Below are 19,683 nucleotides of genomic sequence, written 5' to 3' on the forward strand. Positions count from 1 at the left end.
GGCCCATCTCCCAGGGAGAAAGCTCAACCACAAGGGGGAAGGAATTACATCAGTTTGGGCCCTTCGGCACCTCTTAGAATCCTGCCAGGCAAAGCCCGTTCATTAAGATAAGGCCAATAGTCCAGTCCTGACAAACACCAGTTTTGGGTCCAGGCCGCGTGGGAGGGGTGGCAGCTTGGAAGATGATGCCAACATTTTCCGAGGGGCCTGGCCTGCCATTAGATGACTCAGTGCGTTTCCCAGCACCTCAGCCAGGAGGCAGGGAGAGAGCCGCAGCCCTTATTAATTTTTTTCCTCTTGGGATAGGACTGTTTTGTCTTGGCACCAGGTCCACAGGAAAGCCTTCATTCATCCCCTCCCTGTCTGTGATCTCATCAGCCAGAGCACAGCTTCACCCAGGGAAGCAGAGCCCCAGAGCCTGAACGAGCTGTACCAGTCCATTGTCCCAGGCCACTGGCCTTGAAGTAAGACCTACTTGAGTTTAAGCCCTAGCTCCTCTGGGTCTCAGTTTACAATATGTACAATGGAAGCAATAATCACAGCCTCACAGGCTCATTGTGAGGACTGAGGGAGGGAAAGCATGTAAAGCACTTAGCACAGTGCTCTAGCCCAATACATGGTAGTAATTGCTAATACTCCCCCTTCTTGAGTAGCAATATAATAGTTGTTAATAGTGTGTTTTCTGGAGAGTTAGACAATTCGAACAGGGTGGGTTTGAGGCTTGAGGCCTCATCTTTCTAGTTGAGAGACTTTGGGAAACTTCATCTTGCTGAGTCTGTTTCCTCATTTAAAAAATGGGAATAACACTACCTATCTCATGGGATTACTGTGAGGATGAAATTAAGCAGACCAAGTGTTTAGCACAGTTGCCAGTGCATACAAGAGAACTTCGGAAAGTTCATAGAAAAATGGAATTAAAAGATAAAATTAAAAGATATAAACTTTATTTCTCAACGTAAGCTCCCTCAAGGTCAAGACACCTTTTTTTTTTTTTTTGAAACAGGCTTGCTCTGTCACCCAGTGGCATGATCTTGGCTCACTGCAACTTCCACCTCCCAGGTTCAAGCGGTTCTCAAGCTTCACCCACCTGAGTAGCTGGGATTACAGGCACATGCCATCACATTCAGCTAATTTTTCTATATTTTTAGTAGAGACGGGGTTTCACCATGTTGGCCAGGCTAGTCTTGGACTCCTGGCCTCAAGTGATCTACCCGCCCCAGGTCTCCCAAAGTGCTGAGATTACAGGTGTGAGCCACTGTGCCCAGCCAAGGTCAGGATACTTTCGTAACCATGATATCAGCCATTTATTTAGTACATCCCTAAAGAATTGAGGATCTGGGGATTTTAAGCATGTTAATGCAGTCTTTTTTACATTATTAACTGAAGAAAAATGGCTACCCTTTAAAGAGATATATATATATATTTATATATAAATATATATATTATATATAAATATAAATATAAATATATATATATTTAATGGCAGGCCAATATATATATATTTTTTGAGACAGAGTCTCGCTCTGTTGCCCAGGCTGGAGTGTAGTGGCGCGATCTCGGCTCACTGCAAGCTCCGCCTCCCGGGTTCATGCCATTCTCCTGCCTCAGCCTCCCAAGTAGCTGGGACTACAGGCGTCCACCACTACACCCAGCTAATTTTTTGGATTTTTAGTAGAGACGGGTTTTCACCGTGTTAGCCAGGATGGTCTCGATCTCCTGACCTCGTGATCCGCCTGCCTCGGCTTCCCAAAGTGCTGGGATTACAGGCATGAGCCACTGCGCCTGGCCTAAAGATTTTTTAAGATTAGGAAACAAAAAGTCTTCAGAGGGAGCCAAATTGGGACTGTAAGGTGATGTCTACTGATTTTCCACTGAAACTCTTGCAAAATTGCCCTTGTTTGATGAGAGAAATGAGCAGGAACTTTATCATGGTGGAAAGGTCTCTCTGATGAAGGTTTCCTGGGCATTTTTCCACTAAAGCTTTGGCTAATCTTCTCAAAACACTCTCGTAATAAGTACGTTATTATTCTTTAGCCCTCCAGAAAGCAAAATGCCTAGAACAACCCACAAAATGGTTGCCATGATTTTTGCTCTTGACTGGTTCACTTTGCTTTGACTGGACTACTTCCATCTCTTGGTAGCCACCGCTTTGTCTTCAGGATTGTACTGGTAAAGCGAAGTTTCATTCTTGGTTACAATTCTTCAAAAAAAAAAAAAGCTTCAGGATCTTGATCCCACTTGTTTAAAATGTGTGAAATTTTGAAAGCTCTGTTCTTGTCAGCAGCTGACCTGGGCACAATGGTTTTGCCACCCATTGGGTGGAAAGTTAGCTCAACTTTAATTTTTCAGTAAGGATTGTGTAGGCCAAATCTGTTGAGATATCTGTGGTGCTGGCTATTGTTTCTGCTGTTAATCATTGATCCTTTTCAATTAGCACATGAACAAGATTACTTTTTTTCCTCACAAATTGATGTGGAGGGTCTGCTGCTGTGGGCTTCATCTTCAACATCATCATGTTTCTTCTTAAAATGAATTATCCATTTGTAAACTGCTGACTTCTTTTGGGGCTTTGTCCTTTTACACTTTTATAAAGCGTCAATGATTCCACCATTTTTCCACCCAGGCTTCACCATAAATTTAGTATTTTGTATTGCTTCAATTTTGTAGAATATGTGTTCTGATAGGGACTCTCTTCAAACTGATTTCTTATCTTTCTTGGTGCTTCAAGCTAGATCCTGTTCAGACATGTTATAGCAAGTTAGAACAAATTTATTTTGGTGCAAACATTTATTTTATTTTTTTAGAGACAGGTGTCTCACTGTGCTGCCCAGGCTGGTCTCGAACTTCTGGGCTCAAGTGATCTGTCTACCTCAGCTTCCCAGAGTGCTGGGATTACAGGTATGGGCCACCATGCTTGGCCCTGTGCAAAAAAAAAATTGGAAATCCATGCATAGTTTTTTCATAATATGCATATTATTCATAATATTATTCATAATAGGCATATGTAATATGTTACCTTTCCCACAAACCCCATTAATCCCTTCTCTGATCTTTATTGATTTGGGTACCTCTTACAATCCATCTTGCATTGTTCCTGTTTATGTCCATCGCCCTCAAAAATATAAACTGGGCCTCCTAGGCTCACTTTGTTTTCACCTTGAGGCATGTCTTACACATTATTTTTGTGTTCACACCCACAAATCCAATCCTAAAAGCACTGAAATTGGAAAGGATTACATTGCGTGCCGCATGGAGGCTGGTGCCTGTAATCCCAGGACTTTGTGGGGGGCTGAGGTGGGAAGATTGCCTGAAGTCAGGAGTTCTTTTTTGTTTTGTTTTGTTTGTTTTTAGACGGAGTCTCACTCTGTCGCCCAGGTTAGAGTGCAGTGGTGCTCACTGCAACCTCCGCCTCCCGGGTTCGAGCGATTCTCCTGCCTCAGCCTCCGGAGTAGCTAGGATTACAGGTGCCCACCATCATGCCTGGCTAATTTTTGTACTTTTAGTAGAGACAGGGTTTCACCATGTTGGCCAGGCTGGTCTCGAAGTCCTGGCCTCAGGTGATTTGCCCGCCTCGGCTTCCCAAAGTGCTGCAGCGCCTGGCCGAAGTCAGGAGTTCTTGACCAGCCTGGGCAACACAGTAGACCCCATCTCCTAAAGGAAAGGATTACCTTGTACATTATACAGCAAAAGTTCTTAAAATTGTTTTTAAAATGTATCTCTTCCTTTAAGTTTCCACTCCCTATGTAAGTTGCCTATCCCTCTTTCCCTCCTTTTTGGGCTAGTATCGTCTCCAGCTTGCTTCCAAGTCCGCTAGGGAATACACACGCGCGCACACACACATACACGTGTGTGTTTACGTACTAAAAATATATAAACATTAATAATGCAAGATGGGGCCGGGCGCTGTGTCTCACGCCTGTAATCCCAGCACTTTGGGAGGCCGAGGCGGGCGGATCACGAGGTCAGGAGTTCGAGACCAGCCTGGCCAACATGGTGAAACCCCGTCTCTACTAAAAATACAAAAATTAGTCGGGCGTGGTGGCAGGCGCCTGTAATCCCAGCTACTAGGGAGGCTGAGGCAGGAGAATTGCTTAAACCTGGGAGGCGGAGGTTGCAGTGAGCCGAGATCGCGCCACTGCACTCCAGCCTGGGCAACAAGAGCGAAACTCCGTCTCAAAAACAAACAAACAAACAAACAAACAAAAACCAAGATGGATTGTAAGAGGTATATATATACACATAGGACTCCATTTCTTGGGGGACCTGGAGGGGAGAAAGTCACACCCATACACACACGTACACGCATGTATACAAAAATGAATATATGCTCAGATATATACAATATATAAATGGGCAAATATAAAATCCCCTTTGTGCCAACGAATCCATTCATTCATTCATCAAATATTTGAGCGTCCACTTTGCCTAGAACCAAGTTATCTGTTGGGATGAGCAAGGCATAAGAGGTTCTAGCTCTCATAGAACTTAGAATTCTACTGGAGGAAGATGAGAACAAATACAAAATGTAAACAGTGGAAGTTCTGTAAAAACAACACAGAGCTTTGTGAGAGTGATGCTTAGAATGCTCCTGATGTTCCATTGGGTGTTCGAGCAGGGGGAATGGACTCGGAGGTGAACTATGAGCCGAGATTCATTTTATAAACGGGAACACAGACACATGGACACTTGAAGGGCCTTGGTGGCCAGAAAACTGAAGGCAGGTTCCCATCCGTCTTGGCACCACTCTCCCGAATAGCAGTTTCAGGGAACTGCACAAGCCAAAACCAGCCGGTCGCAGAGTCCAGGAGCGCCTGCGCAAGAGGACGCCTGCGCAAGAGGACGCCGTCAGCTTGGCGTCAGCGCGCCGGGCTCTGGCCCGCCCCCTGTGACACCAGCCCCGCCCCACCCCGCCCCGCATACCCGTGCGCTGCCGCGCATGCTCCGAGCCCCGCCCCCGTGCGTCACAGAATGGCCTCGGACACCCAGGCAGTCCCTGACGTGTCGGGGAGGAGCCGGGCGCGGAGGTACGCTGAGTGGAGCTCGGGGCTGCGTAGGGGAGCTGAGCCGAGCGGCTGGGCGGGCCTGGCCGGGCCGGCGGAGGGGAGACGTCGGTTGAGCGGCGGCGAACATGCGCTTTTGACACATTGGAGGTGAGCCTGCAGCGCGGGGCCGCTCCCTAAGGGGCTGCGCTGGGCCGGCGGCGCCGAGGCCTGCCCTTGGGGAGCCTTCCCGGCCCGGGGCCGTGTCTGAGGCTCCGCCGGGGCGGGCCGGGCCGGGTTCCGGGGCGGCCAGCCTGGGGGCAACTGTTCCAACCGCTCTAACTGTCCCCTCCCTTCCCTGGTCCGATGTGTGGCCCCCCAGGGGCGCCTGCAAGGGAACGATTCCGGTGGCCTCCGGAAGATGTGCCCCGTTCCGGGTAGGGTGAGGGCTGGCGGTGACGGAGGCCGGGACGTGGCACCGTGGGCTGGGGCGCTGGCGGCGCAAGGAGTGGCCCAGTCGGAGGTGGCAGCGGCGCGCCCAGCCCGCCTCCTCCTACCCCCTCTTCGAAATTCCTTCATTTGCGAGGGTGGCTTGGAGCGGGGTTGCATTTTGATCTCTCAGTGCCTCTCTCCCATGGGGGGCGAGAGCGCGAGCAGCCCACGTTGGGCTCGGATTGGCATTCTCCTGACTCCCGCCCGGAACTGCTAATCATCCTCCCCCTGGAGTTCGGCAAAGTGTCACCAACGGGCTCGGGTTACTTGTGCTCGACTCTTTTCTTGCTGTAAGCCATGAGATGACCCTTTAAGTTTTGCAAAGGAGGTGAGAGTTCTGTCACCACTGATTATTACCTTCTATTTACGTAGCACCTTTACACGTTTCAGAGCACTCTTCTTCCTATCTTTTTCTAACCGCATCACCTTGTGGTTGCAACTGATTATGTTATCGCCATTTCGATGGGTAAATGGAGCTGGGATGGGGGTAATTATTTATACTTAGGTTCAACCAACTGGTGAGTGGTTTAGCTTGGATCATAATTTACATTTCTAGGCTCGGAGTTCTGGTTTCTTTTCGTGGGATTTTTATACCCTTCTCAGCTACAAAACAAGGCAGAAAATGTGACTTGCCAAAGATATGCCAGAAGCTGGTAGATTACTTACTCAATTATTTTTGAGAAAACTCACCTAGGATAAAAACGGCTGCTCAGTCATGAGAAAAATCTTCCTGTGAAGCTTGTTCAGGAGTTGCTGGTTAATTGCTTTGCTAAATCGTGAAGTTGATGGGCACAGTGCAGCGTTAAGTCATGGGCTGAAGAGAAGTAAAGGGAAACCAAGTGAAGTATTTCTTCTGAATTATTATTAAAATTATTGTTATTTAAAATTAGAGTGCGTGAGAAACAAAACCTTTGGCCAGCCCTGGTTAGAGGTTGACTTGATCCAGATAGAAGTTGCTAAATCTTCTGAAGCTGTAGTTCTTTTGATTTTTTTAAATTAAATAAATTGAAGTTGGATAAAGAGCTTAAAATAAGTAGGAACCTTAGTAAAACTTAGATCTTGCTTTCATGACATCTGCAAAACAACTTATTTTTGTTTTCATTTTAAACCATGCTGGGATAAATTTGGTTACTAAAGCTTAAAATTACTTCTGACGTAAGTTTCTGAGCACTCCATAAAGTAAAAAAGAAGTCTGATAGAATCAAAGAGAGACCGTGTTTATGATCAACTTTGAAGAGTTAAAAATTCTGTAAATGTCACCTTTGAGAGTAGTAGAATTTCAGTAAAAAGGCATATATTGCCAACAGTGAGTTCTGAAAGAACTCTTCTAACGTCAGTCCATTTTAGAACTGTTAACCAGAAACAATATCATTGAAAATAGATTTTCTTACCATTGTACAAAGAATAATTTCCTTGTAAATAAAAGGCATTTTGGACAGGCTGTTTTAAACTCAAATGAGTTGATTGTTGCTAGATTTCTGAAGGTCATACACAGTATGATAATGCTTTACGTAAAAATTGTCATGCTTTTGAGACTGTGTCCGTATTGAGATCTGGTATTAAAGAAAGATGGGGTGGGGGCGGGCAGAGAATAATAATTTTTTTTTTCTTTGATGGAGTCTCCCTCTGTTGCCCAGGCTGGAGTGCAGTGGCACAATCTCGGCTCACTGCAACCTCCACCTCCTGGATTCAAGCGATTCTCCTGCCTCAGCCTCCTGAGTAGCTGGGATTACAGGTGCGCACCACGATGCCCTGCTAATTTTTGTATATTTAGTAGAGACAGGGTTTCACCATGTTGGTCAGGCTGGTCTCGAACTCCTCACCTCGTGATCCGCCTGCCTCAGCCTCACAAAGTGCTGGGATTACAGGCGTGAGCCACCGTGCCCTGCCAATAATACATAATTATCTATCTTCATTCTAGCTTCAGAAAATTGTGGATGTACCATTAGAGCATTGTTTTAGCAGTATGTTTTCTATATTAGCTAACTTTCTATAGCCTGAATATCTCCAGTTACATAGTTTGAAATAAGTGAACACATCCTCCCAGTGTAACTTGAAGCAAACTGAACAGACTGTATAACAGCCCCTGAAACTGTCGTTTGAGTATCTGCAGTGGTAGCAAATTTTATTATTTGTAAATAATCTGATTTTTATTTTTATTTTTTTGGAGGCAGGGTCTCATTTTGTCACCCAGGCTGGAGTGCAGTGGAGTGATTACAGCTTACTGCAGCCTCAACTTCCTGGACTCAAGCGATCCTCCCACCACAGTCTCACGAGTAGCTGGGACCACAGGTGCATGCCACCACACCCAGCTCATTTTTGTATTTTTGTTAGAGATGGGGTTTCAGCATGTTGTCCAGGCTGGCCTTGAAGTTCCAGGCTCAACTGACATTCCCACCTCAGCCTTCCAAGTGCTGGGATTAATATGCGCGAGCCACTGTGCCTGGCCAGAATCTGATTTTTAAAAAGAGTAAATCTGATGGGTAAAAGTAGGGCAATAGAGCTGGATAATACCAGTTAGGAAGCAATAAAGATGAGGTGTGACCACAAAGTAAGAAGTTTTTGCTTTGTTCTTTTTTTTTTTTTTTGAAACGGAGTCTCTCTCTGTCACCCAGGCTGGAGTGGAGTGCGGTCGCGCGCTCTCGGCTCACTGCAAGTTCTGCCTCCCGGGTTCACGCCATTCTCCTGCCTCAGCCTCCCGAGTAGCTGGGACTGCAGGTGCCCACCACCACGCCCAGCTAGTTTTTTGTGTTTTTAGTAGAGACGGGGTTTCACCATGTTAGCAGGATAGTCTCAATCTCCTGACCTCGTGATCCGCCCGCCTCGGCCTCCCAAAGTGCTGGGATTACAGGTGTGAGCCACTGTGCCCGGCCTTTTTTTTTTTCTTTTATTTGAGATGGAATCTCACCCTTTTGCCCAGGCTGGAGTGCAGTGGCCAATCTCGGCTCACTGCAACCTCCTCCTCCCGGGTTTGAGCGATTCTCCTGCCTCAGCCTCCTGAGTAGCTGGGATTACAGGTGCCGGCCACCATACCCAGCTAATTTTTTTTTTTTTTTTTCATATTTTCGGTATAGACGAGGTTTCACCATGTTGGCCAGGCTGGTCTTGAACTCCTAACCTCAAGTGATCCGCCTGCCTCAGCCTCCCAAAGTGCTAGGATTATAGGCATGAGCCACCGCGCCTGGCCTGCTTTGTTCGCCTGCTTTGTTCTTAATGTGGCTCATAAAGGCTATTCCAAAAAAGAAGTTTTGGAAATGTTTTTCAGCAATGGTGATATCACTGGAATATGCATATATTCCTGAAATGATCAGTTTTAAAGAATCATTTGCATGTTTTAAATTTTGAAGCCTGTTTACTTTGTGGTCATACTTGAAAGGTCTGCTATCGAACTACCAATTTTTAATAGCTTGATGAACATTTAGGTTTTTACTATGTGCCAGGTTCTGTCCTAAGTACTTTACAAATATTAGCTCACTTCATAAGCTCATTCTAATGATTATCCCCATTTTACAGGTGAGGAAATGGGGCACTGAGTCATTAAGTCACTTGCCCAAGGTCACCCAAGTAGTGAGTAGATGCATCAGTAGCGAGTCTGAACTTCCAGGTCTGACTTCAGACTTGGGCAGTTTGGCTTCCCGGTCTGGGCTCTTAACCACTATGCTATGCTGCTCCTATGACTTATTCTTGGTTAAATGTTTTAAATTGTTTTGATCTGGAAGAGATGATGGTCCTTTTAGTAAATGATATCCAACATAGGTTATAATACTGTTAGAGGGGCCAATAAGCGGGTTATGAAAATAGCCTATTGATTAGAAAAGTTGTGGTCAACATTCAATTCACATGAGATTCAGCAAGAAAATAAAGAATGTGACCAGGCGCGGTGGCTCATGCCTGTAATCCCAGCACTTTGGGAGGCCGAGGAGGGCAGATCACGAGGTCAGGAGTTCGAGACAGCCTGGCCAACATGGTGAAACCGTGTCCTACTAAAAATACAAAAATTAGCCAGGTATGGTGGTGGGTGCTTGTAATCCCAGCTACTTAGGAGGCCGAGGCAAGAGAATTGCTTGAACCTGGGAGTCAGAGGTTGCAGTGAACTAGGATTGTGCCACTGCACTCCAGCCTGGGCAACAGAGTGAGACTCCATCTCAAAAAAAAAAAAAAAAAAAGAATGTGTGTGAAGTAAAATAATTTTGCTAGAATTACTTGACACTGAATGTAAGTAGTTGGACAAAGAGGATGCAAGGGCTAGAACTAGATTCTCAAAAAGTTTCATGCAAAAGGCTATTTAAAAACCTGAGTTATCAGGGGACACTCATGGAAAAGTTGGTGTTGTATTAAGAATATGTCCCTGTACAAGAACCAGAAGTCAGAGACAAATGGATACTCGCAATACATCCAGAGGGGTAAACAATGCTATTCCTCAGGGATTACTACTTAACTAGGTGCTCTTCAAAGCATTAACTGCTAGTATGTCCTCTGATACTATATAAATGGGTCAAAACCAACAAAAAATACCCCCACATGGAAATGTTTTGAAGTGGACTCCTGAATAACATTTAGAGATTCAAAACAATCCTAACTCTTTTCGTAGAAGAATTGGCCCCACATTCAAACACCTTCAAATAAATGTTAGATGCCAAGGAAGGTATCTAACAGTCATTAGGAACTTCCATAATGATACCGGTTCATGGGCCACACTACTAGCAATATCATCAAATGCTGCACAGTAACAGAAAGAGTACTGAAAACTCAAAAGAAAAATGATCTGACCAGTGAATAAAATGTTCAGTACAGAAGCAGCACTAGGCACTCAGCCCCAGAAAGGCAGATAGGTAATCTAGGGGCAATACAAAGCATAACAAAATATTTAAGGGACTGAGATGGCTGCCAAATCATTATAGGCTAAAAAGGCAAGAAATAATCACTTTGGGAAGACCAAGGCTGAGAGGTATTATCATCAAAGGCTACAAAACCAGAGGGGACATAAAAAAGGAGAATACAATTTTGTTCGCCAAATCCTGGAACCTTCCAAGAGAGCAGCACATGGGACTCAGGGCAAAGCTAAGACCAAAAACAGGAAGTTCATCGATGGCTATAAAGTTATGGAACTTATCCCAGTTGCTTCAAATAAGATAAAATCAATACATTACAAGTTTTAGACTTGAAATCATTAACTTACAAAATGCTTTATATAAGGATCAGGACTTTCTTCTATTGCTTTTTTTATTTTCCTGAGCTTTTAAATTTCTCTTTTTCTTAGTGACAGTAGAGTAACATGTCTTCACCACAACCTCAAATATATCTAGCTTCTCACTTGTGCTCTATGCTATCTGTTCTATGGGATTCCTTATTTTTCTTGGTGTCATCCGTCTGAAGCATTCTATGGGCCTGATGGACTAGGCTTCATCCTGGGACTTTTCATTGCAGCCCTAGGTTGGAGCCCCTATTTCCTGCATCCCATGCTGTCCAGGTCATGGTTTTCTCCCTTCTTTTGTACTTGTCTCAGGAAGTGTGTAGGAGGTAGCCCTCCTGACCTTTTTTTTTAAGTCTTTGTCTAGTACCTTCTGAGTTCTTGTATAAGAAAAAATCTCATTTCCTGAATTGTCTGTTTCCTCTCAGTTCACTAGGTCCTAAAATTTTCTTATTCATGCTACTGGGTTTTCTTACTTGTCAGATGGCTCTTGGTTGTCCATTTATATTTCAGGGCCGGATAATGATGATTTGAGGTAGCTAGTGTGCAGTGGTTATCTCTAAGGTTCTTCCCAATAAATCCCATCAACTCCCTATTCTTTGATGTGGAGCCTGTACTGAGCCTATGTCAGTGACTGAATGTGGCTGCCCATGTATCGGATTAATAATTTTGTCTAACTGATAATGATAGGTTTTCTAATATTGATTTAATATATGGTGGTACATTGTAAGGTGGAAGTAAACTACCCGCACATCTTTTTGCTTACTCCATTCCTGAAGTAGGAATTCAGATGTTAATAAAGTGGTACTTTGAAAGTCAAGAGGGAATATTGAAAGGATGATTATAAATCAGTTCACATATTTATTTATTTATTTTAGAGACAGGGTCTTGCTGTGTTGCCCAGGCTGGAGTGCAGTGGCACAATCATGGCTCACTGCAGCCTCAAAATCATGGCTTACTGCAGCCTCATTGCTTCTGGGCTCAAGCAGTCCTCCTGCCTCAGCCTCCCCATGTGTTGGGATTACAGGCATGAGCCACCGTGTCCAGCCTCAATTCAAATATTTATTGAACTTCCACTGTGTTCTATGTTTGATGATGTGGAGAGATTTAACCGTTCATTCCTTTAAAAAGATTTTTTTTTTTTTTTGCTAAACCTTCCTGAGTGGCTTGTGCTAGATAAACTCCAAGTTCTATGCATCTCCAGGTTTTTATTTATTTACTTTTTTTTTTTTTTTTTTTTTTTAGATTTTTAGACGGAGTCTCGCTCTGTCCCCCAGGCTGGAGTGCAGTGGCGCAATCTTGGCTCACTGCAAGCTCCGCCTCCCGGGTTCACACCATTCTCCTCCCGAGTAGGTGGGACTACAGGCGCCTGCCACCACGCCCGGCTAATTTTTTGTATTTTTAGCAGAGATGGGGTTTCACCGTGTTAGCCAGGATGGTCTCAATCTCCTGACCTCGTGATCCGCCCGCCTCGGCCTCCCAAAGTGCTGGGATTACAGGCATGAGCCACCACACCTAGCCTATTAATTTACTTTTAAAGCTGGTCTTGAGTTCTTGCTGCCTAGTATGGAATAGGTTGAATCAATTATGGTTTAATTCAGTAAATATCATTGAGTATCCACTATTGTGCAGGCATTGGGCTGAGACGGAAATAAGTAAGCCAGCCTAACAGGCAACACAAAGGTGTAAGCAAATGCATTGCCCTGTGGTAATAATATCAGTGAAAGCATGTGTGGGGTACAGAGGTAGCAAAGAATGCAAGAGATTTTAATGCTGTCCAGTTGAGGGCAAGAAAACCTCTCTGGAAAAGATGACAATTAGGTTTTAAGGATAAATAGTAGTTTTCCTATTTAGGGGAGCCACTCCAGGTAGAGAAAACCTGGAGTAGTTTTCCATGCCTGAAAGAGCCTGGTGTGTTAAGACAGTTTCGAACAGTACTGCCAGAATATAGAGTGGGATGCCTGGGGAGGGGGTGCTAGGAAGCAGTAGGCATGCCTCTAGAGTGGGCCTGACGATCAGTTGGGAGTTGTAGGTAGCCAGTCCAAATGTTAGTTAATTAAATCGCTTTTTTTCTCCTCTCTGAATGCCTTGGGAGAGAAGAACCAGGATGAGAGAGAGAGATCATTGAAGTTGGAGATTAGTGGGCTTTTGGAAGGAAGCTTTGGACTTAAAAGATGATTAACAGGAGGTTTTTAGAGATTTGATAATAGTAAATTATTGGGAATGTGGTGCCTGATTTTCTAGTAGGGTCACCTGGCATAAAATGTTCCAAGCAGATGTTTTGAAGCAGTTGTATACCTGGGAAGGGCAGCATGCATGCGGTAGCAGCATCTCTGACAATAAGCTTGTTTCTGTCTCCCGATTCGCAGAAGACCACGTGGCCTTAAACCAACTGCTGCAACTCTGTGTGCAGGATGATTCTGTGGGCCCAAGTCACCCAGCGCCTATGCTGCAACCAAAAGTGCCTCCTGTCGCTTTGTATCAAAGGACCTTTGTCATGATCTCATTCACAATATTGGTGGTCCCTGAGAGTGGAGCAGTGGAGTGATTGACGTGCCTGAGTTTGAAGAGAGTTAACCACTGGAATCTCTCATGTTTTATTCCCTCCAAAATGCTGCAGTTCAGTGTTGTCCCAGATTTTATGCTTGTGCTTAGATTTCTCTGTTCTCTAATTTGTTAAGTTTGTCTTTAATATTTCACAGGCTTTCTTGATCATGGATGGTGAAGATATACCAGATTTTTCAAGTTTAAAGGAGGAAACTGCTTATTGGAAGGAACTTTCCTTGAAGTATAAGCAAAGGTAATGTTGGAAAGCACACTAAAAGTAGGGGAGGGCATTTGGAATACACCGTGTCTTGTTTGTGCATTTTTCTTTTTAACATAAAGCTAAATTTAGAATTGCAGATTTAGGATTCTAGGATTGAGATTCTACAAACAGTCACCACATGGGTTGTATTTAAATAGTGTAAACATGCCATAAGTCTTTATATTGTTCAAATTATTAAAATAGTAGGAAAACTGTCATTTATGATTTCTTCTGATTGTTACCTGTTCTATGCTTTTTAGTAGGCGGGGCCATCTTTGGCCCGTTTTGCATGCACTGATTCTGCCTCATCATTTTGGTCATTTGGAGATTCTGATAAGCTGTCTGGGGCTCCATAGAACAGACTTTACGTTCTCCTCAGGCAAGCATGATCAGTGTCTGGAGCCAGCAAAGCTTTGAGGGAGGGGGAGAAGCTTCAGGGGCATGGAACGTTTTATAAAATTTCAGTTATTTGGTTGGGAGAACTTTCAGGCAACAACCTTTTAAGCAACAAAACTTGTCTCAAATTTCTTTTTTAAAAATGGGATCTTGCTAAATAAAATATTGATACATTTTCCTATTTTGGTTAACAGAGTTTACTAAGTCTTATCAAACCTTTTACTGCCCTTTCATTATTATCACCGAAGTCAGTTATTCTATTGTGCCAGTGGATATGAAAGGTGTGTATCTATGGCAGGGTTCTTAATCTTTTTCTGTGTCATAGATGTCTTAATGGGCTGGGGTAGCCTGTGGACTCCTCAGCATAATATTTTTAAATGCATAGAATAATAGAATTACAAAGAAAATCAATTATATTGAAAAAAGTTATCTAAATATTAAACTAATTTATGGCATAGTAACATGTACTTCTCTATTAATGCATTAAATAAAAAAAGATACAGAAGTGAATGTAATAACTACCTAATTTTGAAATAGTCATGAAAATAAATATATTTAGAGATACATGCAACGATTCTATTGTGATGTGAAAATATGTGTGATTTCTGTTGAATATGGTAGAAGGAAATGCCAAATTTGTTACTTTAATGAAAGTAAAAATGCATTTTTCTCGCATCTGAGTTCTGTGGTGGAAGAAGCTAATGGTATTGAGCCACGTAGCCTTACTTTTCATAAATATTGTAATCACTGACTTGTGGCTCCTTTTTGGGCTTGTCGTTTTCATTGAACCCTGAATATATACAGTAAGAGATGCAAAACAGATTGTCTTTAGTATATTTTATGAGAGCATTAGCATTCAAGCAAAAATTATCGAATTGCTCTATAATCACCTCCAAGACAATCCTTGTGGTTCTTAGTGTAACTCGTCTTTCCCACTTTGTTTCTGATTAGCTTCCAGGAAGCTCGGGATGAGCTAGTTGAATTCCAGGAAGGAAGCAGAGAATTAGAAGCAGAGTTGGAGGCACAATTAGTACAGGCTGAACAAAGAAATAGAGACTTGCAGGCTGATAACCAAAGACTGAAATATGAAGTGGAGGCATTAAAGGTAATTGCAGCAGTAGACGCTGGGGTCTAATGTGTTGAGTTTTATTAAAATGAGAAATATGTTTTTCAGGTGCTTAAGAGCAGCTGGCGACAAAAAATAGTTTGAAAAAAACGCTTAAAGTGAATTTTTGAATAAAATGTTTTCTTTCACGGAACCAGGGGAAAAGGTGGTTTAGAGTTTAGGAGTTCACTTAGAAACTTTGTAGTTGTCACTTTTCTAGCTATAATGTTCCTAGCTATATTATATTATAGTTCCTATAATTTTCAAAAGCTGCCTGATTATTTGTTTTGACAGATAGGTTGCCTCATTCTGCAGTATGTTTACAATTATATTGATAGGGAATATGCATTTATTTCATTATTGTTCATAGCCCTTTCAGTTTTGGAGTTTAGTTAGGGTTAAAAATTTCCCTTCTAAAAAGGAATTTTCAGGAGCAAAAGGATTCACCCCTTTCTCTGCCCTTTACCATCTACTGTAGCCACATGCTTGAGGGTATTTAGTGTCTGGGGAGTGGGTGGGTTCTGGGAAGGTTGGATGGGCAGGTGAAAGGTAGGGAATGTGAACTCTGTGCTTACCCTGGGCCGCATTTAGCCTGAAAATCCAGAGGTTTCCTTAACAAGTTTGCGGATTTTGAGGCAAGGATTTTTTATATTAGTTCTTTTCAGAGAGATTGTTATTGGGTTTCTTTCTGAGAGGAGAATGGTTGACAAAATTTAACATGAGTTTAGGCACTTAGAATGAATGTGTCATTTAGTTGTTTTTAAAGTAATTGTTACAAGAGTGTGGGTAAATTCCTTGGGTTCCCCCCCACCCTTTTAACTTGAGTTACCTCTTTAGTAAAGAGAACTGTATATTAATGACATGTACTTTCCTATACTGATGCCCTCAGGAGAAGCTAGAGCATCAATATGCACAGAGCTATAAGCAGGTCTCAGTGTTAGAAGATGATTTAAGTCAGACTCGGGCCATTAAGGAGCAGTTGCATAAGTATGTGAGAGAGCTGGAGCAGGCCAACGACGACCTGGAGCGAGCCAAAAGGTAAACGAATGACTGCATTTTGTTAGAAAAAAACCACCTTGGTAATTAGTGATTAAAATCTTTATTAGGCTCTTCCCCTAGATCTTAGTCCCAGAACATTTCCTGTTGGTGTTTCATGTCACCTGTAACTCATCGGACGGAAGGGAACCCCAAATCCTCATCTCCCAGATAACGCCCTTCAAAGCTTTCTCTTTCAATTTTTCTTTTTTCCTTCTTTCATATACTGTGGTTGATCCTATTGGTTTTGTTTTGTTTTTTGAGACAGGGTCTCACATTGTCGCCCAGTCTGGAGTGCAGTGGCATGATCTCGGCTCACTGCAACCTCTGCCTCCCAGATTCAAGCGATTCTTGTGCCTCAGCCTTCCAAGTAGCTGGGATTATAGGCATGTGCCACCACACCCAGCTAATTTTTGTATTTTTAGTAGAGACGGGGTTTTGCCATGTTGGCCAGGCTGGTCTTGAATTCCTGCCATCAAGTGATCTGCCCACCTTGGCCTCCCAAAGTGCTGGGATTATAGGCATGAGCCACTGCACCCAGCCTAGGTTTTGTGTATTTATTTATTTTTTAAACTGTCTCATGCATTCCCCCATCTTCCCTCTGTGCTCTTAACACTTCCATACTTCCTGTAGGTCCTCATATCTTATACCTGGATTCTGTAGTTATCCTCTAGCTGATATATCTTTATATTTCTGTTCCTTTTTATTCTCTTTTAATACTGACTGATGAATTTTCTTAAAATGTTGATTTCAGTTCAAATTTCTGAACAACGTGCAGTGGCTTGCTATCACTGTTGCCAAACTTTTATGCATGTGTAATTAGTTGTTTCTTAACCATTCCAAACTTAATTCCTATTACTTTATAATTGTTTCCTGGTATTTCCTTCCTTAATATTTATCCAGTGAGTCTTAAGTGACTGACATGATGCTAAACTTACAGATGCGGAGCTAGTCTGGTCACTACCCTTGGGGGTGACAGATATGTACATTCACTATGTTAATACCCTAGTAAAAAAAAGTGGGCAAGCTGCTGCTCCAGGGCATAGAGGAGGCAGCAGCCAGATTGGTTGCGGGGAGGTGGGCGGGGGGGGGGCAGTGGGGGAACCAATCAGAGGCTGAAGTGAAGTTACAAAGTGACACCCTATGCAAATGTCTGAGTGGTTGCAGAAAGCAAAGGGAATAGCTTCTGGTCCTTTTCTTACTTAGGTGTGGAAAGTTCCGGTTTTCCTTTTGATTTAGTTCTAGGAAGTCAGTGTGAATTGGCCTTAGGTTCCCTGACTTGGGACTTAATGTTTTAAACAAACTCTTACATATATTACAAGTTTTGAAAAGTTTTCTTTCTGAAAATGTGTAAACTTGATTGTATTGTGTTCAAAACACAGTGGAGATATAAATAGTGTAACAAATAGCCTTTCTGTAGGGAACATTAAGGAATAGATGGGAATTTAAAAGAATGTATTGTATATATTGCCCAACTGATAGAGACACTACGTGCCAGCAGTGGTCAGGAAGGGGCAAGATCATCTTCTTTGATTGGGGCCAGGCTGGCTAGGTCAGGAAATGTCACGAGATAAACTGACAGTTTCCTTTTGTACTATCTGTTTGCACATGTTATTTATTTAATTCATGTACTCTAATTTTTCTTTTTAGGGCAACAATAGTTTCACTGGAAGACTTTGAACAAAGGCTAAACCAGGCCATTGAACGAAATGCATTTTTAGAAAGTGAACTTGATGAAAAGGAATCTTTGTTGGTCTCTGTACAGAGGTTAAAGGATGAAGCAAGAGGTAAAATTTATAACTTAAAGAATACAGTTGACCCTTGAACAACATGGGTTTGAATTGTGTGGGCCCACTTATACTCTGATTTTTTTTCAACCAAATGTGGATTGAAAATACAGTATTCACGGCATTCAAAACCCTGTATATGGAGGGCTGACTTTTCATATATACGGGCTGACTGTGGGACTTCAGTATGCGCCAATTTTGGTGTAGGTGGGGGTCCTGGAACCAATCCCCATGTATACTGAGGGACAACTGTATTTATCCTCCCTTACCTTACTGTCCCTATGCCAGAAGAAGCTTAGAGTCAACTTTTTTTGGAGACGAAGTCTCGTACTTTCACCCAGGCTGGAGTGCAATGGCACAATCTCAGCTCACTGCAAATTCCGCCTCCTGGGTTCAAACAATTCTCCTGCCTCAGCCTCTCGAGTAGCTGGGATTACAGGCGCCCGCCACCACACCCAGCTGATTTTTGTATTTTTAGTAGAGACGGGATTTCACCATATTGGCCAGGCTGATCTCGAACTCCTGACCTCGTGATCCGGCCGCCTTGGCCTCCCAAAATGCTGGGATTACAGACGTGAGCCACCGCGCCTGGCCCCATCCAGCTAATTAAGAAAACATTTTTTTTGTGGAGACAGTCTCAGTATGTTGGCCAGGCTGGTTTTGAACCCTTGGCCTTAAATGGTCCTTCTGGTTCTGTCTCCCAAAATGTTGGGATTATGGGTGTGAGCCACTGTGCCTGGCTTCTTAATCATTTTAAAGTGTACAGTCCAGTAGTGTTAAGTATAGTCAAATTGTTGTGTAAACAAATTTTTAGAACTTTTTCATCTTGCAAAACTGAAACTATACCTATTGAATAGTGACTACCCATTTTCCCTTCCCTTCAGCCCCTGGCAACCACAGTTCTATTTTCTATGAGTTCAGCTACTTTAGATACCTCATATAAGGGAGATTATACAGTATTTGTGACTGGTTTATTGCATTTAGCATAATGTCCTCAAGGTTTATCCATGTGTAGTATGTGACAAAATTTCCTTCTTTTTTAAGGCTGAATGATACTCCATTGTATGTATTCATTTTCTTTATCTGTTCATCTGTGGATGGACATCGAGTTGCTCCCATCTCTTGCTATTGCGAATGATACCGCTGTGAACATGGGTGTCCAAATATCTCTTTGAGATCCTGTTTTGAATTCTTTTGGATACATACCCAAAAGGGGGATGACTTTGTTCCTTTTTTAACACAAGCAAATATTCTGTAAGTTAAATTGCATAATTGGAAAAGATAACATTAATTTTGGGTTAAAAACTCGACATTGGCTGGGTGTGGCGGCTCACGCCTGTAATTCTAGCACTTTGGGAGGCTGAGGCGGGTGGATCATTTGAGGTTAGGAGTTCGAGACCAGCCTGACCAACATGGTGAAACCCCATCTCTACTAAAAATTCAAAAAAAAAAATTAGCTGGGTGTGGTGGCGGGCACCTGTAATCCCAGCTACTTGGGAGGCTGAGGCAGGAGAATCGCTTGAACCCAGGAGGTGGAGGTTGCAGTGAGCCGAGATTGCGTCACTGCACTCTAGCCTGGGCGACAGAGTGAGACTCCGTCTCAAAAAAAAAAAAAAACGCTCAATATTTGAAAGCATGAGAAAAATTTAAACCGTTCTGAATACTTCTTTTCTAAAAGTAAATATTTCATAGTGATAATAGTTAATGCCAGCCCATTTAAAATTACAAAAATGCACTTAGTTGATTTTGCAATAACCCCAAAACTACATCATTTGAAAATAAAAGCAAATAAGTTGGTGAAGAATATTTACTTTTGTGTGAATTGTACTGTGGACTCTGCACTGTTTCTTTTTGCATATAAGCATAAGTAACTTCTCTCAGGTTATAGCATT

At 42.9% G+C, this 19,683-nt stretch overlaps 1 protein-coding gene across 9 annotated transcripts in view, besides 4 other annotated features; it reads left to right on the forward strand.

The window, feature by feature from the left end:
• The window catches only part of NDEL1 (nudE neurodevelopment protein 1 like 1), a 61,198-nt gene that overhangs the window by 17,765 nt on the left and 23,750 nt on the right, over window positions 1-19,683 (forward strand). For 4 of the 9 annotated variants that reach the window (XM_017025183.2, XM_017025186.2, XM_017025184.2 and 1 more), the window contains exons 1-6: window positions 4,989-5,150; window positions 13,032-13,281; window positions 13,365-13,462; window positions 14,816-14,969; window positions 15,859-16,007; window positions 17,655-17,791. In XM_017025183.2, the coding sequence (XP_016880672.1) occupies window positions 13,255-13,281; window positions 13,365-13,462; window positions 14,816-14,969; window positions 15,859-16,007; window positions 17,655-17,791 (565 nt within the window). In that variant the 5' untranslated portion in view covers window positions 4,989-5,150; window positions 13,032-13,254. Of the gene's footprint in view, window positions 1-4,988; window positions 5,151-13,031; window positions 13,282-13,364; window positions 13,463-14,815; window positions 14,970-15,858; window positions 16,008-17,654; window positions 17,792-19,683 lie in introns of those variants that run through there. The other 5 variants (NM_001025579.3, NM_030808.5, NM_001330129.2 and 2 more) reach the window with 3 other exon arrangements.
• Window positions 4,793-4,962: a silencer, noted in NCBI's record as "silent region_8182". NCBI's record gives its function as "represses an Ori minimal core promoter by ATAC-STARR-seq in GM12878 lymphoblastoid cells {active_cell/tissue: GM12878}" and the evidence as "EXISTENCE:reporter gene assay evidence [ECO:0000049][PMID:35858748]".
• Window positions 5,063-5,262: a silencer, noted in NCBI's record as "silent region_8183". NCBI's record gives its function as "represses an Ori minimal core promoter by ATAC-STARR-seq in GM12878 lymphoblastoid cells {active_cell/tissue: GM12878}" and the evidence as "EXISTENCE:reporter gene assay evidence [ECO:0000049][PMID:35858748]".
• Window positions 5,303-5,542: a silencer, noted in NCBI's record as "silent region_8184". NCBI's record gives its function as "represses an Ori minimal core promoter by ATAC-STARR-seq in GM12878 lymphoblastoid cells {active_cell/tissue: GM12878}" and the evidence as "EXISTENCE:reporter gene assay evidence [ECO:0000049][PMID:35858748]".
• Window positions 13,693-13,893: a silencer, noted in NCBI's record as "peak2716 fragment used in MPRA reporter construct". NCBI's record gives its function as "represses an SCP1 promoter by STARR-seq MPRAs in K562 erythroleukemia cells {active_cell/tissue: K562}" and the evidence as "EXISTENCE:reporter gene assay evidence [ECO:0000049][PMID:32103011]".

The sequence above is a fragment of the Homo sapiens genome, chromosome 17, assembly GCF_000001405.40.
Source record: "Homo sapiens chromosome 17, GRCh38.p14 Primary Assembly".
NCBI classification, from domain to species: Eukaryota; Metazoa; Chordata; class Mammalia; order Primates; family Hominidae; genus Homo; species Homo sapiens.